The sequence below is a fragment of the Homo sapiens genome, chromosome 9 (assembly GCF_000001405.40).
Source record: "Homo sapiens chromosome 9, GRCh38.p14 Primary Assembly".
NCBI lineage: Eukaryota > Metazoa > Chordata > Mammalia > Primates > Hominidae > Homo > Homo sapiens.
Genome location: NC_000009.12, coordinates 126,461,330 through 126,480,268, shown reverse-complemented (window position 1 = coordinate 126,480,268; position 18,939 = coordinate 126,461,330). Strand labels below are relative to the sequence as shown.

At 48.4% G+C, this 18,939-nt stretch overlaps 1 protein-coding gene across 2 annotated transcripts in view, besides 3 other annotated features; it reads right to left on the bottom strand.

Annotated features, from left to right (window-relative positions):
* MVB12B (multivesicular body subunit 12B) overlaps positions 1-18,939 on the bottom strand; it is a 180,212-nt gene that overhangs the window by 26,772 nt on the left and 134,501 nt on the right. The gene's annotated exons all lie outside the window — the stretch shown is intronic.
* Positions 3,344-3,922: an enhancer, noted in NCBI's record as "H3K4me1 hESC enhancer chr9:129238626-129239204 (GRCh37/hg19 assembly coordinates)". NCBI's record gives its function as "activates a minimal SCP1, AML or CMV promoter by ChIP-STARR-seq in naive and primed H9 embryonic stem cells {active_cell/tissue: H9 hESC(naive and primed)}" and the evidence as "EXISTENCE:reporter gene assay evidence [ECO:0000049][PMID:30033119]".
* Positions 3,923-4,502: an enhancer, noted in NCBI's record as "H3K4me1 hESC enhancer chr9:129238046-129238625 (GRCh37/hg19 assembly coordinates)". NCBI's record gives its function as "activates a minimal SCP1, AML or CMV promoter by ChIP-STARR-seq in primed H9 embryonic stem cells {active_cell/tissue: H9 hESC(primed)}" and the evidence as "EXISTENCE:reporter gene assay evidence [ECO:0000049][PMID:30033119]".
* Positions 4,664-5,863: an enhancer, noted in NCBI's record as "P300/CBP strongly-dependent group 1 enhancer chr9:129236685-129237884 (GRCh37/hg19 assembly coordinates)". NCBI's record gives its function as "activates an origin of replication core promoter dependent on BRD2, BRD4, P300/CBP, MED14 and CDK7 cofactors, with strong dependence on P300/CBP, by STARR-seq in HCT116 cells {active_cell/tissue: HCT116}" and the evidence as "EXISTENCE:reporter gene assay evidence [ECO:0000049][PMID:35650434]".

The following is an 18,939-nucleotide window of genomic DNA, read 5'->3' as shown; positions in this document are numbered from 1 at the left end:
AAGAGTCGGGAACATGCAGCCGCAGTTGTTAGGGGCCTGGTCATGAGTGCAGGGACGCGGAGCCCCGAAGTCAGGGGTGGCCGCACCCTGAGGTGGTGGCTATGCAGTAAATTGTGGTTTCAGGGAGAAACGGAGTGAGCACAATGGAAGCAAGGTAGAGCATGGGGGCAGCGTCGGGCAGTGCGCTCCTGGGACCAACAATCTTTGCTTCCCCCAGTGTCTCCTGGAATGATGACTTCTCTGGAACCTTCAGTGGTCATATTTTTTCTTTCTCAGTCCTAACACAGAAGAGTAGCAGAAGCAGAAAGCAGCAAAGCAAGAGGAAAGGACATAAGAGAAGAAAAAACCTGGAACGGATCCTCCCAATCAGCAAGAAAAGCCGAATGGCTCATGCTACGTTCATACAGGGATAAAACATCATAGAACTCTGCTCACACTTTATTTTAGGGAAGGAAAGAAACGAAACCTTCTTGGATCAGCATGAAGAAAAAGACACAGCACAGGTGGCGGCAGTCGCTGCATTCCCCGCGCCCTCCTCTCTTGGAAGGGCCGCTGCCCAGTGTGGCTGCTGGACTTAGACAGAGACTCCTGGTCAGAGGCCTTCTCCCATTTCAGGTGGTGCTGGCAACCTGCTGTGAGCTGACGGAAGAGATGGGACAAAAGTCCCGAACAGGCAACACTTCCCCAGAAAGTGGGGTGAGGGGAAGGCCCCAAACAATCTCACTCAGTACGTCCCGCATTTGGGCCTCAATCTCGTTCAGTACATCCCGCGTGCAGACCTGTGTGTGAACTCTAAGTACCTATGCGTGTATGCTGCTTCACAGATGAAAAAGTTCAGCAATGAATAAAGGAGTCTGGAAGAGCCACAAAGCCTTCTAGAGAAGGGCAGAGTCAAGTCCCACCGGATATCCAGGAAGAGGTGTGCCAGCTCCCACCACCATCTGCCTGACCTGACTTCCATGCCCTTCCTAGTGCTGCTGAGATGGGCCGGGCACTCGTAACACTTCCGATCATTTTAGAGATTGGGAAGCAGAGGCTCTGAGAAGTCGGTGCTTGCTGGGGTCACAAAGGTAGGCAGCAGTGGCCCCAAAGCTCTGGATAGTACAGGCTACTTGACCTCCCCAGTAAAGTCCCGAAGCCCACTCTTCACCTGTCATGGTCCTCACTTCCCACTCTCTGCCCACATCCATCTCTTCCACAGCTTCTCTTGCCTGCTAGACAGACAGCAGGGTCCACAGCAGAGTCCTCTCTGCACGCCCAGGTACTGTGCACAGGCCCTGGCAATTGCTCCCCTGCAGAACCCACTCACCATTCATTCCCCAGACTTTCTGCCTCTGATGTTTTAAAGACCTTATTAGTATTTGGGAGTGAAGAACTGCCTCTCACTGGTGACAGTTGTTTCTATCTACATGTCACTGTATGTCTAGGGATCCTGTGTGTTACGAAGGTGGTAAGGTGATGTGCAAAGACCTGATTACATCAGGAACTGAGGGGGCTGAGAAGTACTGGGGGTGGCAGAGAGGAAGGGGGCTCCTCCCATGGGAGGCCTCCCTAGTCAGAGGCTGTCAGTACTGCCTGTGCCTCCAATGGACAGAGAAGGGCAGGATTTCCAAGATGGGGGTCTCGACTGGCATTGAAGGCCCTGGCCCCTTGCACCTGACCCTCTTCCCGGCTTACCCATCCCTTCCCTCCCTCTATGCTTGTACCTCAACTGTCCTTCCCAGTCTTCTGAGTGCCTCTCCTGCAGCATGCCTTCCCCGAGGTCCTCCCTGGGGTCTGGCCAGGCCCGTGTCTCCTCTCCTCTTATTGTAGGTGCATGTGCGAGTCACCTCTGCATTCCAGGTCCCCAGCCCAGGGGCAGGGCCTGGGGGCTCAGGGGCTGTGCTGGACAGGGAGGGCTGCTGTTCCCATGCACGGGGATCTGGGGAACTGGGTAGAGGGCTCCAGCCTGGGGCAAGTGCCTAACTCTCTCAGGACCTGGGGACCCTGCTCACTGCTACCCCCGCCTGCTGCTGCTGGAGATGAAAGCCATGGATGGAAGAAGCCTGGGAATCACTTCTAGGAACTAGGAAGATCTAAGCAGGGAGGGAAATGTTTTAAAAAATTCATATAAAATTAACCATTTTAAAGTGAACAATTCAGTGGCATTTAGAACATTCACAATGGTGTGCGATCATCACCTCCATCTAGTTCCAAAATATTTCCATCGCTCCAAAGCCAAACCCCTCACCCATGAAGCAGTTTCTCCCTGCTCCCACAAGGAGCGTGTGTTTCTTTCTCCTTCCAACTGATGATCACGTCTTTGAAAGAGAAGGATCTAGAAACATAGGTGGTCCCGTAAGCCTGGCTTTCTGACTACAGTAGCCAGGCCTCCTGTCACGCTGCGCTCTTGCCTTGCTAGTCAGCAGAGGAGATGAGGAAGAATGGGTTGCCCAGGCTGGCTGCTCTGAGTTTAGGGCTTTAAATAAAAATCAAGGATAAAAAAGTAACTTGTTGATATAGTTTAGCTATGTCCCCGCCCAAATATCATCTTGAATTGTAGCTCCTATAATCCCCACGAGTTGTGGGAGGGAGCCAGTGGGAGGTAATTGAATCATGGGGGCGGGTTTTTGCCATGCTATTCTCATGAGAGTGAATAAGTCTCATGAGATCTGATGGTTTTATAAAGGGGAGTTTCCCCTGCACATGCTCTCTTGCCTGCTGCCATGTAAGGCATGCCTTTGCTCCTCCTTTGCCTTCTGCCATGATTGTGAGGTGTCCCCAGCCATGTGGAACTGTGAGTCCATTAAACCTCTCTTTCTTTATAAATTATGAAGTCTTAGGTATTTCTTCATAGCAGTATGAAAATGGACTATACACTTGTAAAACTTAGATATCAACAATAGCATTTTTTGTACATATATTGACATAGTTTAGATATATGTCCCTGACAAGTCTCATGTTAAAATGTAATCCCCAATGTTGGAGATCGAGACCTGGTGGGAGGTGTTTGGGTCATGGAGGTGGATCCCTCATGGCTTGGTGCTGTTCTCACGGTAGTGAGTGATTCTCACAAGATCTGGTTAAGTGCATGGCACCTCCCCTGGCCCTCTCTCTCACTCCTGCTCTGGCCATGTGATACGCCTGTTCCCCCTTCACCTTCCACCATGACTGGAAGCTTCCTGGGGCTTCCCGAGAAGCAGATGCCAGTGCCATGATTCCTGCACAGCCTGTAGAACCGTGGGCCAAGAGCCAATTCAATCTCTGTTCTTTATCAATGACCCAGTCTCAGGTATTCCTTTATAGCAACATAAGAACAGCCTAACACACAAATATATATATATCACATATATTATGTAAAAATATACCTTTACATAGATTATAGATTTACATTTTTTTTTTTTTTTTTTTTTGAGATGGAGTCTCGCTCTGTCTCCCAGGCTGGAGTGCAGTGGCGCAATCTTGGCTCACTGCAAGCTCCTCCTCCTGGGTTCACGTCATTCTCCTGCCTCAGCCTCCCGAGTAGCTGGGACTACAGGCACCCGCCACCATGCCCGGCTAATTTTTTTGTATTTTTAGTAGATACAGGGTTTCACCGTGTTAGCCAGGATGGTCTCGATCTCCTGACCTTGTGATCCGCCCGCCTCAGCCTCCCAAAGTCTTGGGATTACAGGCGTGAGCCACCGCGACCGGCAGATTCTACATTTTGTATATATAATATGTAAGGTATAAATTATATATTTCCATTATAAGTGCATACGTATGCATATGCATACACACACCCACATATGATTAGGACAAGGCCCTCCCTTAGCCACTGAGAGACTGCAGGGAGCGGGCAGGGTGCTCACCCCACCTCCCAGTGGGCCCTGAAGTCCCTCAGAGGCACTTCCCGTTTGTCTGCAGGCCCTCCTCACATCTGCCCTCCAGAGGTGAAGCCCTCCCTCCCAGACCTTCTGGGGCACCCTGGGGAGTTGGTGGGGCCCATGGCCAACCTGCTCCACATGCAGGCATTGAGGTGCCTGGGTGAGGGCACCTTCTGGCCCTCAGGCAGGCTCAGCGGTAACACCTTAGTGAGGAGGCAAAGATGAGATGTGAGACCATTGCGGGATGCCGCACAGCAGCCACTGGGAGGGAAGGAAGACGCATTCCTGAAATGTCTGAGGAGCAAGATGCAGCAGCAAGGGGGGCCCTCAGGACTTTGACGGCCTCGCTCCACCCCTCGGCCCATGTGCTCCTGACTGGACCAGCAGCAGAGATGAGGAGACCTGCTCTGACCTAATCCTAACTGCAAGGAGGAGCTGTCTGGTCAAGTGACAGAGACGGGAGCCTCAGGACAGACCACCACCGTCTGAGAGTTCACGACAGAAGGAGGGGCATAGTCAGATGCTCCCTATGTTCTTCTAGAAAATAGACTTTTATTTTTTGTAGAGATGGGGGTCTCACTGTCCAGGCTGTCCAGGCTGGTCTTGAACTTCTGGCCTCAAGTGACTTTCCCAGCCCGACTTCCCAAAGTGTTGGGATTACAGGTGTGAGCCACCACACATGGCCTAGAAAACAGATTTTAACAAACTCAGAGGAAAGAAAGAGGAGGTGATAGGATCCCATGGGCTGAAGCTCACAGTGGGAGCTGAATCAAGAGGAGCGGGGCTCTCACAGTGCCCTTCTCACCAGCACAGGGAGGCTCCAAAGAGAAGCAAGTGCCACCAGGACCAGCAAGACTCTGCTAAGCAGATAATCTGCCCACCAAATCCCACTTATTTTAGAAAATCTAGTATATCAAAGATTAAAGCAGGCTGAAATAATATGGATTTCAGCAAAGCATCTTACAAATTTTCTCATGTTATCCATGTACACAAGATGGATAAATACAGCTGGCTACTGTGGAGGTTAGCAGAATCCATAACTGGTTGAACCACACATTCAAGAAGCTGATTAAGAGACCAATGCTAACCTTAAGTGACCCCTGTGAAGGGTGCCCAGGGCATGATCAATGACTCAAATGAAGACACACAGGGTATGCTCATCTAATGCACGCCTGATGGGAAGCCGAGGTGGGCAGTCTACAAACCAGATAACAGAGTGAAAACCAGTAAAGTCTCAAAAAGTTGTGATCGTGGGCCAAATGTAATGGAAGGAGTTCACTAGAGACCCATGAAGAGTCTCGTAGTGTAGGTCCGAAAACCCAACTGTGTTGGATGGAATGGAAGAGGCGTGGAATAACAGCAGGAGACAGGAAAGAAGGCGGCTGTAGGTGAGTAAGTCAATGACGTGATCTGACTATTTAAACGGAGCATCATAAGGTTACAGTGCCGCAGTCCTGGTGCCCGGATGAGTCACTCACCCTGGTCTACTTGGAGCTTGAGTGGGGCGCTCAGAGCCAGAACCACCTTCCCAGAGGGTCATCCCGGGGGCCTTCAAGGAGGCCAGAGTGGTGAGGGAACCTGAAGCCAGACCATGTGAGGGAAAGGAGAAGCAGCCATCAGGTTCGATGGCCCAGGAAGGCACAATCCTGTCCATTTCTGTTCATCCTAGCACCCTGCCCAGCACCCTCAGAGCCCAGTATGGTGTCCAGCACATGAGAACTGCAGCAAAAGTGGCGGTTCAGATAAGAGAAGACTTGAGGTGAACATAATCAAATGTCTGCACATGTTTTCATGGTGGTCACAGCATAAGGGGCTAGACGCAGACAGCGACTTGCTGGGGAGCTAGGGAGGGATTTTGTGTGTTGGGTAGAAAGCTGATCTGTGGGACTGCTAAATCCCCTCTTAATTCTGTAACATCCATGTCTCCTCTCATCTGGGCAGCCTTTTCATATTTTAAAACATCTAGAGGTTTGCAAAACATAATTCTTAAAATCAACGGCATGCATTCTTCATGCATTCCAAAAGAATGTTCATGAATCATCTCCGTCCTGGCTTCTCCTGGGGAGCCACGTTTACTTCCTTCCTTTCTTTTTCCCTAGCTGCAACTAGCATTTTGTCTTTGTTATTATTTTAGAGCAGAGAGACTGTGATGTTCTAGCATTTAGTCTATTTCTGAGTCCCATGCAGGGTGACATGCTGTTCGAGGAGCTGGATGGAGGCAGAGCTGGGAACGAGACACACATTTTCACCCCTGACCTGCCCCTTCCATGCAGCCTAAGGGCTTGGATGGGGCTTCATCCCCCCACGCTGCCTGACCAGTCTGCACTCACAACCTAGATGCAGGGACGGCACCTACCCTTTCCTTGGCAGAGCCAAAGACGGCACCCAGGTACAAAGTGGCCCTCTCTCCAGGCCCTGGAGCTCTCAGTGTGCCATGACAAAGCCCCCCACCCCCAACAAACCTGGGAGGTAAAGAAGTTCTCCCCAAGCCCAGTTCTACAAAATAGAAAAGGAAAGGGAATCCGTGCTTACTGCCCATACACAAGGTGGTGAACAGGCATCAAATAACTCAAGCCTCAACATTACCACTTAACGTGGCTTGAATCTGTGTCCCCACCCAAATACCCAAATCTCATGTTCAATTGTAATCCCCGGTATTGGAGGGGGCCCGGCGGGAGATGACTGAGCTATGTGGGGAGAGGATTTCTTGTGGATGGTTTAGCAGCTTCCCCGTGGTGCTGTCCTTGTGATAGCGAGTGAGTCCTCGCGAGATCTGGTTGTTTAAAGGCGTGTGGCACCTTCCGCTCTTTGGCTTTCTTGTTCCTGCTCTGGCATTCTTGTTCCTGCTCTGGCCATGTGATGAGCCTGTTCTGGATTTGCCTCCACTATGATTGGAAGCTTCCTGAGGGCTCCCCAGAAGCAGATGCTGCCATGCTTCCTGTACAGCCTGCAGAACCATGAGTCAATTAAACCTTTTCTTATAAATTACCCAGTCTCAGGTATTTCTTTATAGTAACGCAAGAATGAACTAATACACCACTTGCAAGGCTTAGAGGAGTTATGAGGCTTGGCTGGAGCCAGGATTCAAACCCAGAGTGTAACCTGCTCTGGGGCTATGGGGGGCTATGGCAGGGAAGGAGGGGCTGGGAGCTTGGCAGACCTGAGTTTTTGCTGCAGCTCAGCAGGTGCAGATGTGCAGCTGTTGCACAGGCCACCCCACCTCTCTGAGCCTTACTTGCCCTGTCTGTAAGGTGGGCATAATACTACAGCTGCCTCTGCGGGCTGTGGTGAGGGTGAAGAAAAATGAAATAAGACGACAGAGATAAAGCACCCACCACGTAGGGAGGGCTGGTCACCTAACCCTGGCTTCTGCTCTTACCAAAAGCCATGTGCTGGGGCAGGTTTCCTTTCAGTACTAGGCCAGTGCTTTCTTCTTCTTCTTGTTTTTAAATTTTTTTTTTATTTTTGGTGGCAGTTTTAACAAAATGCTGATCCACAGCATCGAGCTACCTCCAGCAGATGAAAGCAAGGATGTGCCGCTGGCTCTGTGGCGCAATTAGCATTCTCCTAAACAAACGAGCTTCAACAGAGCTGTAATTAAGCAGGCCTGTAATTAAGTATATGCCCTTTATCATAACGATCATGCTTAAAAATGGCATGATGCATGGAACTCTGTTATTAATGCTGTAATCCCAAACTGAAGTGCCAGTACATAGAAATCAGCATGTCAGGCCTGTCACCAGAGTGTTTGTAAAATACATTAAAGAAAAAAACCAGAAAACAATGAGCTCATTCAACTGTTCTTTTTACAATCAGGCACTACAAGTCAAGGGGATTGTGAATGCTTACAGATTCTACAAGGTTTAAACAAATAAAGCTCTAATCTGCTACTGTATTAATCCCACCCCCTATTTTAAAGGAGGAAAAAGGGGGTGGTGGGTTTTTTTTTTTTTTGCCAGCTGACCTGAATGCCTGTCTTTGCTATTCTCGGGGAAGCAGTCAGTCCAATCTGCATGCTGCATTTGTTTGGACATAAAATTGGATTCCTGCTTGCACAGACAGCTCTGCCATGAATCTGTAGGAACTTTGCCTGGCAACGAGATGGGATTATAGCTCCTGCATCCTCCCTTCATATGGGAACTATAATTTTACCTGCCAAGGCAGTCCTCCAGAGCCATCCCTTGATTCTCCCCTCCAAACACACACCTCAGACTTCTGCAGGCTCAACACAAACCCACCACTGACCAACTCCCAAGGCTCCGGACTTAGGACCACCCATTGCCCCGGAATACCTAGCTGCTCAGAGCCGCCAACCCTTATCCCTCCCCAACGTCTCAATACACAGCAGGGGTGAGGAAATACTCCAATCAACACATGGATTAATTTCAACATGCTTGATAAAGAGAGTCATAAAGTCATGTGGTAAAAATGTAAAAATTAAAAAAAAAAACAGACTCTATTACCAGCACCTCAATTGTTATCTGCTTAAAGTTGTCAAGCGGTGTTAAGTGAACTCGGGTAATAGTACCTCAAAGTACTTGCAGAGATGCTGGTGAACAATGAGGCTTATTGGCAGGTAGTCATTTTCGGAATAAAATTAAATGCAATTGGAGTGGTGGGAGGCCTTTAATTCTGTGTACCTGCCCGGGGCTTGGAGCTGTAAATAATCAGCAACCCTAAGCCTTTCTTCGCCCCTTTCCTGTGGCGTTTCAAAAGTCCTTTACAATTTGTAATGGGGAAAACGCCAACAACTCAAGATCTCAAGGCCATTTCTCAAAACTCATTTGCAAACCAAAACACGGAGCCTGTTTTGCTTTCTTGGTGATTTCACTTTGGGGATATTCCTTGGAAGATATTTGTAGATGCCTCCAGAGCTGTCTGCTCAGTGACATTCCAATTGAGTTTACACAGGGCCAACAACTTCCTTCTAGATCCCCAAAGTAATTTGTTTTGCCATGTTATTCATAAGCCAAAAGGAGTGATTTATCAGCCACTGCCGGAGCCTCCCGAGTCCCCCGCGTGAGAGGCAGCACGGGAGGACGGAGCACAGGCGCCGGAGTCAGACACGTGTGAACGCCGAGCTGGGCCCAGTGCTTGTTGGCCGTATGGCTTTGGGCAAGTCACTTAACCTCAGAGTCAGATTTTCATCTGTCATATGAGGATAATTGTGCCCACTCCGCAGCACCGCTGAGGGATCAGACAGCAACAGGAAAGAACAGCCTGACCACAGCAGCCACTGAGAAAATGGGGCAAGGCTGCGGTTTTATGTCGAAAGCAGCTGTTTCTGCAGGAAATGAGTTTAGACCAGGCCCCACTTCTAACTAGTTCTGTAATTTGGGACAAGTATTTAATCTCTCTGAGCCTCTCTTTCCTCAGCTGTAGAAGAGAGAAAATAATAATACCTGGACTGCAATGACATTCAAACAAGATAAAAACATAAAGCCCTAGGTACGAACGAACTGCTCAGTAACTGTTAGCCATTCGTATTAGTGTTAGTGTTATTACTGCTGTACAGAGGGAAATACCCTTTCACGGTTGACCTTTTTCTACCTGCTTTCACATAAGAACGTAAGTGCAGCCATATTAAATTACACAATCCATGGGCTGTGAGACCCAATCCAAAGACGTTTGGTGGGACGGAAGCAATGTTTGCTAAGGAGTCACTCATTGGGCACCCAGACCAGGGTGCCCTCACACCACAAACGAACATTCTTAGAGGTTCTATTTGGCATGAGCAATCTGGATTACACACACACACACACACACACACACACACAGAGCACTGACTCCTCCTAGGCTCCCCATCTCTACACAGAAGACTGTAATTGAGGGGCTCGCTTCATCCCTCTGCATCCCTAGTGCCCTGGGAGGAATCTAGGGCCACCAGCCCCCCCACCTCCTCCTTCAGGGCAGTCCCTCCCTCCAGGGTCCAGGGTGCAGTGCTGGGCTGCACAACCTCATGCAGGTCCAGGGCAGTTCTCTGAAAGCTATGGGAGCACAGAGGGAAGGCAGCTGCCCCACAGTCCACACCCACAAGAAACTCGACACACAACAAGAACATTCTCACTGAGCCTCAGAAGCTTGGATCTTGCTTCCAAGTCGAGCTTGACTTGCAACACCAGAGATAGCAGACACCACGGAGAGCCATGGTCTGGGGGACCCAATGAGTTACTCCTCAGCAAACATTGCTTTTGTCCCTCCAAACGTCTTTGGGTTGGGACTCACAGCCCCTGGGTTATGTAATTTAATATGGCTGCACTCCTGTTTTTATGGGAAAGCAGGCAGAAAGGGGTCTACCGCGAAAGGGTATTTTCCTCTGTACGGCAGTAATAACACTAATACTCACTAATACTAATACCAGTGGCTAACAGTTACTGAGCAGCTAGTTTGTACCTAGGGCCTTATGTTTTTATCTCATTTAAACATCATAGCAGTCCAGGTATTGTTATTGTCTTTCTTCCACAGTTTAGAAAAGAGAGGCTCAGAGACATTAAAGAAACATTTTTTTAACGTTATAAATATTTAATGGCTTGGGGCAGGGATCAACTGCATTTTGCTCAAGGTAAAGATAAAACGCAACTCAGTGATACTTTTCCACATGAGTTCAAAGGTACCCTGGTGGCTGAGGGGCCACTGGGTCAGTGCACACACCTGCTGCCCACAGCGACAAACGCAGAAACTCCTCAGTGAGCTCGAGACCAAAGGAGCTTTGTAGATGCAGAACAAAAAGCAGACCCAAGGTCCAATGCAGATACGTTACCACTAGTAGCGACCACATCCTCTGGAAGAAGGCATGCTCTAAAACAGGCAGTGTGATCTGCAGCCACGGGGGGTAACTGACAGCAAGGGCCTGACAGGCATGGCCTGTGACTACGGAGCACGCCTGTCCCCCAGGCTGAGCATCACATACACCCCTCGGTTGTGGAGCAGGGAACCTCAGGCTTGGAAGACGCACTTTCTCTGCCAGGGCTCTTTTTACCTTCTCAAAACCAACCCATCTATATTTTTAAGTTGTACTCTTTAACACTTCAGCACATGAATATATTTTCTAAGGAAACCATTCCAATAGGATAGCTAAGTCAAAGCACCCCTTGAATCCGGAGCCGCTGATCCCTGGACCCTTCTCAGAGCAAGCCTTGGTAGTGGTCTGTACACAGTGCCTGGGGTCCTGCCGGCCTGTCTCCCATGCATTCACCTGCGTGTTGGCATGTATAGAAAAAGGACAGAATATTATTTTTTTATTTTTTAGACATGGACTTTTGCTCTATCACCCAGGCTGAAGTGCAGTGGTGCCATCATAGCTGTGTGTAGCCCCGAAATCCTGGGCTCAAGGGGTCTTCCTGCCTCAGCCTCCCAAGTAGCTGGGATTACAGGCATGAGCCACTACAGCTGGCCAGAATTTTGTTTTGTATGTATTCGTGTTTTTAATAAAAATAGCATCACAGCATAAGTAACTGTTTTGCAATTTACTTTTTTTCAATTGACTGTGTTTCCACATCAATTCTTAGAGCTCTGTGTCTCAGCCTTTTTAACTGTTGCATAGAAGTAGGGTCCAGAGACAACCAAGAACCAGCCTGCCAGGAGTCCTGATGGCCATTCTCAGCAGACTGAAGGACATCATGAGGTCCCTGGGGAGCCACCAAAGGGTCTTTGAGCTGGAGAGAGAGATGGGGAGATTTAGGTTTTAACAGCGTCTCCCTGGCTATGGAGAGGAGAATGAATTACAGGGAGTGAGGCTGGAGCAGGAACACCAGGGAGGAAGTTCTGACACTGAACCAGGCGAGGGACGCTGGTGGCCCGGATGAGGGCAGTGGCAGTAAGAATGGAGTGGCTGGGGAAGGCCAAGGGACATTTAGATGGAAGAATCAAGAGACCTGGCCACTGGCTGCAGAGGGGCAAGGCGGAATCAAGGGTGACCCCAGGATCCTGGCCTAAAGAGCTGGGAGAATGAAATGCCAGGTACTGACGGGGCGTGGGGGCCAGCGGAAAAGCAGCAGAGATGAACTCGTGGGTCCCGCTGAGCATGTGTCTGGTTTGAGGGGCTTGGGCCACAGCCAAGGGGAGGCAACTGGTCAACACTGGTTAGAACATTATGACCGAGAATGTGAGATGGGTGTGTGAGGGCTGCCGGGTGGAGATCCAGAAATGAGGCCTGGCGGGCGGGGATGTGAGGGTGAGTTTGGAAGTAACCAGCATGGTGATAATTGAGACCATGAGAGAAGATGAAATATTCTGGAACATGGTGAGAGAGGCAGACCTGGGACAGAGCTGAGGAATGTTAACGTTCCAAGCTGGCAAAAACAATGGGAAGATCAGAATGTACTCTGTGATATTGGATCAAAATCAGATGTATCATTATAAAGTCGGTTTTAATATGTAGTTGTAGACAGATACATAAGCGCACATCTGTGTGTGTGTACACTTATATGTATATGTGTACATATATTTCTCTCTACACACATGTGTGCATACATTTCTCTCTGCTGAGGCAACGGCAGTTCAGAGGCAATGGGCACTCCTCATACCCAGACTCTGCTTTCTAGCATCTCCTCTAAAAGAGACAGGAGCTGTTTGGAGAAGTGGCTGATTCAGTGCTGGGCAGGAAGGGAAAAGGCCAGGAACATCTTGTTGTGCCAGAAAGTAAAGAGGTTCTCAAAGAATCATGGGAACACAGCAGAAGGGCATGAGAGCCAGCCTGAAGGGGTTCCCATTGGCTAAATATGAATCCATTTGAGCATCAAAATAAAAAATGACAACTATGAGTAAGAATACCCTAGTCCATACCAATATAAAGAAATAAACTGGCTGAGGATAAGGGAAACCTCTTCCTTATATACTGGAGAAATGGCAGAGTTATAAAAATCAATGGATGCTAAAAGTGGCAGGTGAAAATCTGATGAGGAACAAGTTATTCACGTAGGCCTACAGTATTCCCCACAAATTACCTACTAATTACAAAGGTAAAAGCAGTAAGTTTACAGTGAAGAAACCTGCTACACAGCACCTTCGCCAGGTGATCGAAGCTAACTTCACCAGTACTGGGTCACACCAGCACCGTGGGCCTCCCAACAGGATGCACTGAGAGTGAGACTCTATCGATGGCCTCAGGAGGATTCCTGCCAAAATGCATAACAGATCTTATTATGAGAAAACATCAGACAAGGGATATTACACAAGGTACAGGATACTGAAGTAAAGGATAGGATCTACAACACCCGGGGGAGTCCTCACGTTACAGCCCCAGAAAAGGTGATGTTCAGTTTAAATTACTTCAATCAAATCTGATTTCCGGCTGGGCGCAGTGGCTCTCATCTGTAATTCCAGCACTTTGGCAGGCCGAGGTGGGCAGATCACCTGAGCTCAGGAGTTCGAGACCAGCTTGGGCAACATGGTGAAACCCTGTCTCTACTAAAAAAAAAAATCCAAAAATTAGCCGGGCATGGTGGCACATGCCTGTGGTCCCAGCTACTCGGGAGGCTGAAGCAGGAGGATCACTTGAACACAGGAGGTGGAGGATGCAGTGAGCTGAGATTGCACCACTGCACTCCAGCCTGGGCGATAGAGCCAGACCCTGTCTCAAAAGAAAAAAAAAAATCTGATTTCCCACAAAAGTGAGTGGCATACACAAGGTTATTACAGGTCTATCCCAGGGTTGATATCCAATTTGTAATAGAAATGATCACAAACACCAGAGTTACTTAATTATAAAGTATGCATCTCTAGGGCACCATAGAAAGTGCTCTAAAGTGTATGTAAATAAATTCAACAATACAACACTTTTTTCCTCCTTAACAACTCCTGGCACCTGTCAGGGCCGGAAGTCTTCTTTGGTGCGGTCTGCAGTGGTAGATGGCAAAAATGGTGGCAAATCCCACCATTTGTCACCTACGCGGTCATGTCACACTATCCGCGTATGTGTGCCCCCTAGCAATATGATTTGTCATTTCTCTCATCAAGAGGTGTAATCTATTTCTTCACCCCTTGAATCTGGGCTTGGCCATGTGACTTGCTTTGGTGAATGGGACATTAGCAGTTATGACACCAGCAGAGACGTAAACACGCTTGTGAGGCCAGGTTAGACTTCCCTGGCTTTGGAGTGCTGGGTCGGCCAAGTACACAGGCTCAGAGAAGCCTCCTGGAGCCTGAGAGATCACGTGGAGCAAACACGAGCATCCCCAGGTAAGGCATCCCTGGAGCAGCCACCCTGCCAACTACAGACAAGGGAGTGGGGCCATCTCAGGCCATCCGGCTGCAGCCAGGTTGACCCAGACCAGCATAATCACCCACTGACCCACAGAACCATGAGAAATTCTAAATGTTGGTTGGTTTAAGCCCTAAGTTTTAGGGTGGTTTGTTATGCAACAAAAACTAACTGATGGAGGGGCTACATCTTTGAGAGGAAATTCAGATAGATTTCTCCAGAAACTGCTCTCTTTGTATCTTTATACTGGCTGCCTTAGAATAAAGTCAGTAAACAGAAAGGGCTTTGGTGTCAGACAGCCCTAGGTTCAAATGCCAGGCCCACCAGGCACTAGCTCTGCACCCATGAAACACACTTATACAGCCTCTGGAAATGGGGCTGATTATTCTAGGGGCGAAGCAAGGATTCAGAAAGATAACACATCTAAAACAAATGTTCAGCATGTGTTAGCTATTGTTATCATTACCATCCCAATGATGTGCAGAGGCTAAGACTTTCTTGACACACTGCTGGAAGGACCCAGTTTCAATGTGCTCCCCCCACCCCCCGCCCCCACCAATCTGGAGGCCACTCGTGCATTTAAAGGGTAAGCTCCATGATAGCTGCGCCCCCAGCTCCTAGAACAGTATCTAACATATAATGGCATCCAAAGAAACCTATTGAATAAGTAACGATGGGAAGAGAACTGGCCTTGGCATCAGGGGGCCCAGCTTTTGGGCAATGAAGTCTGTGCCCCCATCTGAGAGTAAAAGGGTTGGGCTAGATCAGTGACTCATCCTGGTGCTCACTGGTGAGTTTGAAAAGATTGTTGCTGCCTGCCACCCCCAACCCCAGGGGTTCTGATTCAATTGGTCTGAGGGGTGGGCTCTGGGGATCAGCATTGTTTCAAAGCTCCCCGGTGATTCTAATGTGCAACTAGGTTTGAGAAGCCCTGGGCTAGAAGATGTTTAAGATCCAGCTCTGATAGTCTTCATTCTCACAAATGCTGAGTCACCCCAAGTATTAAATATGTATTGGTAATTTTTGAGAACCTGGATTTAAACCCGAGGATGCAATGTATAAATCTCACTAAGTTGGTCCATCCTACATGACAGCTGATTTCTATAGCCCTCACCCAGATTCTACTCATAAAGTCTTATCAAAAATGGTCTGCAAAGGTAAAAGTAGGTCCTGGGCCTTCCCTTTCCTCCCCTGAAACCAAAGGGCAAGAAGAGAGAAGGTGTCTTGGATGCTCTGGGTGTCTGAAGCCGATACCGGCACGAGAGCATCTGTCTAAGGGAAGCAAAGCACGCCGGGAGTAACAGGTGTTCTCGTATAAACCTCACAATGGCCCTGGCACTGGCATTCCCATGCCCCCCAGAAGGAGTCTGAAGCCCAGAAGGGAAGGAACTTGTCAGGGCCGCAAAGCTGGTCAAGGGCAGAGCTGGGTGGACACGGTGATCTCCTAAATCCACTGCCTTCCGCTATGTGAAGGAAGAGAGGGTAACACCTTGCCATGTGACCTGAAGAAGTCATCTGAAGATGGAAGTGGAGAAAATATAATCGAGAAGGTGTGAAAGTGAAGGCAAGCTCCACACAGAGTTAAGGGATGTTAGGGAGTGTCCTCCGGGCCCTCTCCCAGAAGATCCATTCATGGCCAAGACAAATATTCCCACGTCAATATCACTGGAGTTCTCTTTCAAGTGCAGACCTCGTGTACCATTCCTTTACTTAAAAACTTCAATGTCTCCTAAAGCTTATAGGGTCATGTCAAATGCCACAGTCCAGGCCCTTCCAGGTTGATCCCAACCTAGCTTTGTTCCCTAGCTGCTCTCTCCTCCCTGCCACTCTGCTCCCTACACTTTAGGATTTAGCTATTCTGGCCTGCTAACCACTTTCTACTGAGTCAAGCCTTCCATCTGTGATAGGCCTTTCTCCTTGCTGTGGGATCAGCCTGGAGAGTCCTTTCCTATATACCTGCTTGTGAACTCCTCAAAGGGCAGAAACGTTACCCCCTGGGCTGCCTCCTGAGCTACCACCCATCATAGTGGATGACTGTGCTCCGATCATCTGCCTGGATGTCTTCCCCTGATTATGAGCTCCATGAGGGAACCATGGTCCCTGTTGGCCCAGGGCCTGTAGGTGGGGGAACTCTCAGTAGCCAAGGCCTGGATGAGGTGATAGACAGATGAGTGAATAAAGTCGTGTGCCCAGAAGAAAGCTGCTTCACAATGGGGATTCTTTAGGACTCTGTGAAACGGGGACATTCCACTCCTTACTCGGATTCCATGATTTAATCACTTATCTGCCCAAGTACGGGAGTGACGAAGATAGTAGGCTTGAGTACTGCACAAACTGGAAAGCTATAACCTTGTTATAAATTTTGCTTAAGATTTCAAAAAGACTCCCTACAGGTTAAAAAAAATGGTATAAAATATGACACTTGGTACCACAGCACAGGGATCTTCTGACCTTCATTAGTGGGACCAAGATCCCCAGGACCTGAGCACCCTCAAGAGAGCCCAGAGAATTGGGGATGGAAGCTTTGGAGCTCAGGCTGGGAGGTGACCCCTCAGGGGACAGCCACCTGGGAAAGGCTATTGAGAGGGCCCCAGACTTCTTCCTCCTTAGAGCCACCAGGTGATTCCAAAAGATGAGTCACCATGGTGGCCAGGGATAGACCAAATAAAGAGAGACCTGCCACAGAGTGTCGGCAGCAATCTAAACCCCACTTCTATTTTGTGTGAGTTGGTACCACTTGAGTGCATTCGAACCAGGTCATCTCTTCATAATAAAACTTAATTTATGGAGAAAAAGGCATTTCTATGCCTTGTATTTCTCTCATTTTATAGCAAGCAGAAATACCGGACTTCTCAGTTCAAAACTGAATACCTGGTTTTCCTACCCCTCACATAGCTACTCGTATCATCTAGCTGAGCTGGATGCGGCTGACAGTCCTCATGGTGCATGTGAGAGGATGGGAGCCCTTAGAACTCACGCCTCTTGGAGACGGGAGGCAGGAGAACACACACCAACCTACGCAGAGGTGTGTTTCCAACCAGCAGGACTGTCAAGAACCATTTCCCTGGGAAAGGGCTTCTCTTGAAAGCAGCACACACCACACCCACTGGCCCAGGACTCAGCTCCAATGGACCAGCCCGCAGGACAGTGGGGAGATGAGGCGGAAGGTGCAGTGTGAGACGGAGCTGATGCCGAACTGACATGCGCTTTGATCTGGAAATAGCAGGGATGTGCTGAGCTGCCTTCTGTCTGGTTGCTGTGTCTATGAGGCAGAATGCCATCAATTACCCAGATTTCAGATCTAATATTAATCTTTAAAGGGCATGTCACGAAAATGTATCCTCTAAATATTGGTTGTGAGTTCACTCTGTAAGCCTGTCAGGGGAAATGGGCGTGAGGCGGCCACCCATCTCTGCCTGTACCTGTCAGGGGCATCTCCTGCCACCTGACAGTAATCCCACCTGAGCTCAGCAGTCCCACAAATGAACAATTCAGCCAGCCACTCTAACCATGGTCTCAGCTCAACCTTAAGATTTAATAACAGGGCCTGCTGGTATTCTAATTTCTGCAGCTGATGAACTTTCAGAGGCAACATGAGTTGAAATAACGAGCGCAGAGATGACAAAGAATTCTCATCCAAGGTTCTCTGAACTATCCGGTATAATAAGCACTTGTTCCTTTCTACAATGGGCATATAAAAGAGAAATCTAAATAATAATTGCTGTAATTATCTTGAAAAATATGCAGAGATTAATGGTGATTATGAAAATCTGTATAATTGTTCTCTGAAATCATCTCTGATCAAATGGTGTCTTGGAATGGCCGCTGCCAGGGAACTTTTAACACTGAACCTCATGCGGGCACGGAAATGTGACACTTCGGCTATCTCCCCGTAAAATATTACCCTGTGTTTACGAAATTGGTTTTCATCACTTCCAATACCCTGGCCTGCATTTTAACTCTTCGTACCAGTGCCCTGTGGAGGCTCCAAGACGCCCCTAATGGGATGTGTATGTCATTGTGGTTCAAAGCTCCAAGTTCAACTTGTTATTTATTCAAATAATTAATTACTCTTGTATCTATCGAGCAGTTTGTCATGACACATTAATGACTTGATAGACTTCTATGAACTGGTGAACACAGAACAGCAGAGCGTTTTTATCGTCATTTAATTTTAAAACGATCCTGTGTGAAATTATCTAGTCGTGAGTGATGGGAGCATAAAGCACAGACTCAGCGAAGCCTCTTTTGGATCATTGCTTTATTAATGGTAACGTCAGGGAAATGAAAAATGCTAACATTGTCATATTCCGCTGCTGGGTGGAGATGAATGGCTGGCGGGTGGGCGAGGGCCCCCATGCTCTCAACCCCCACGGGCACCGACCCCCTCCCAGCGCTGGCCAGCCAGTCGGGGCTCAGGGCCTTGGACACCCACCAGCCCACCCACCCCGGGAGCCCACCTCCACGCCCAGGCTCCCACCTCCACGCCTGGGTTCCCTTTCTCGGTTTACGGCTCTCCACGTCTATTACTTTGTGTGTGTGGTCTTTTTTTTTAAACTTGGATTTTCCACTAGTGATATAAAGCACCCTCACGAAAACATTTCGCTTTATTGCTTTGAACATTAAATGTTATTAATCCAATAGAAAAACGTTAAAGATATTGCTGTCACCTTTAAATGTGAAATGATATTAGGAGCTAAAAAACGCTGGGCTAGTAGAAAAGATGTTCCCTTAGTTTCTTTCAAGCCTTGAGATAGGCGAGCTGGGTTGATGATAAAATAATTTTTCTACATGGCTCACAGCACAACATCTGCTTAAAAGAGACTTTCTGTTTAGCTCTTTTTTTTTTTATATATAGTGAAAATTGTTTCTCGATTGTTTTAATTACAAACT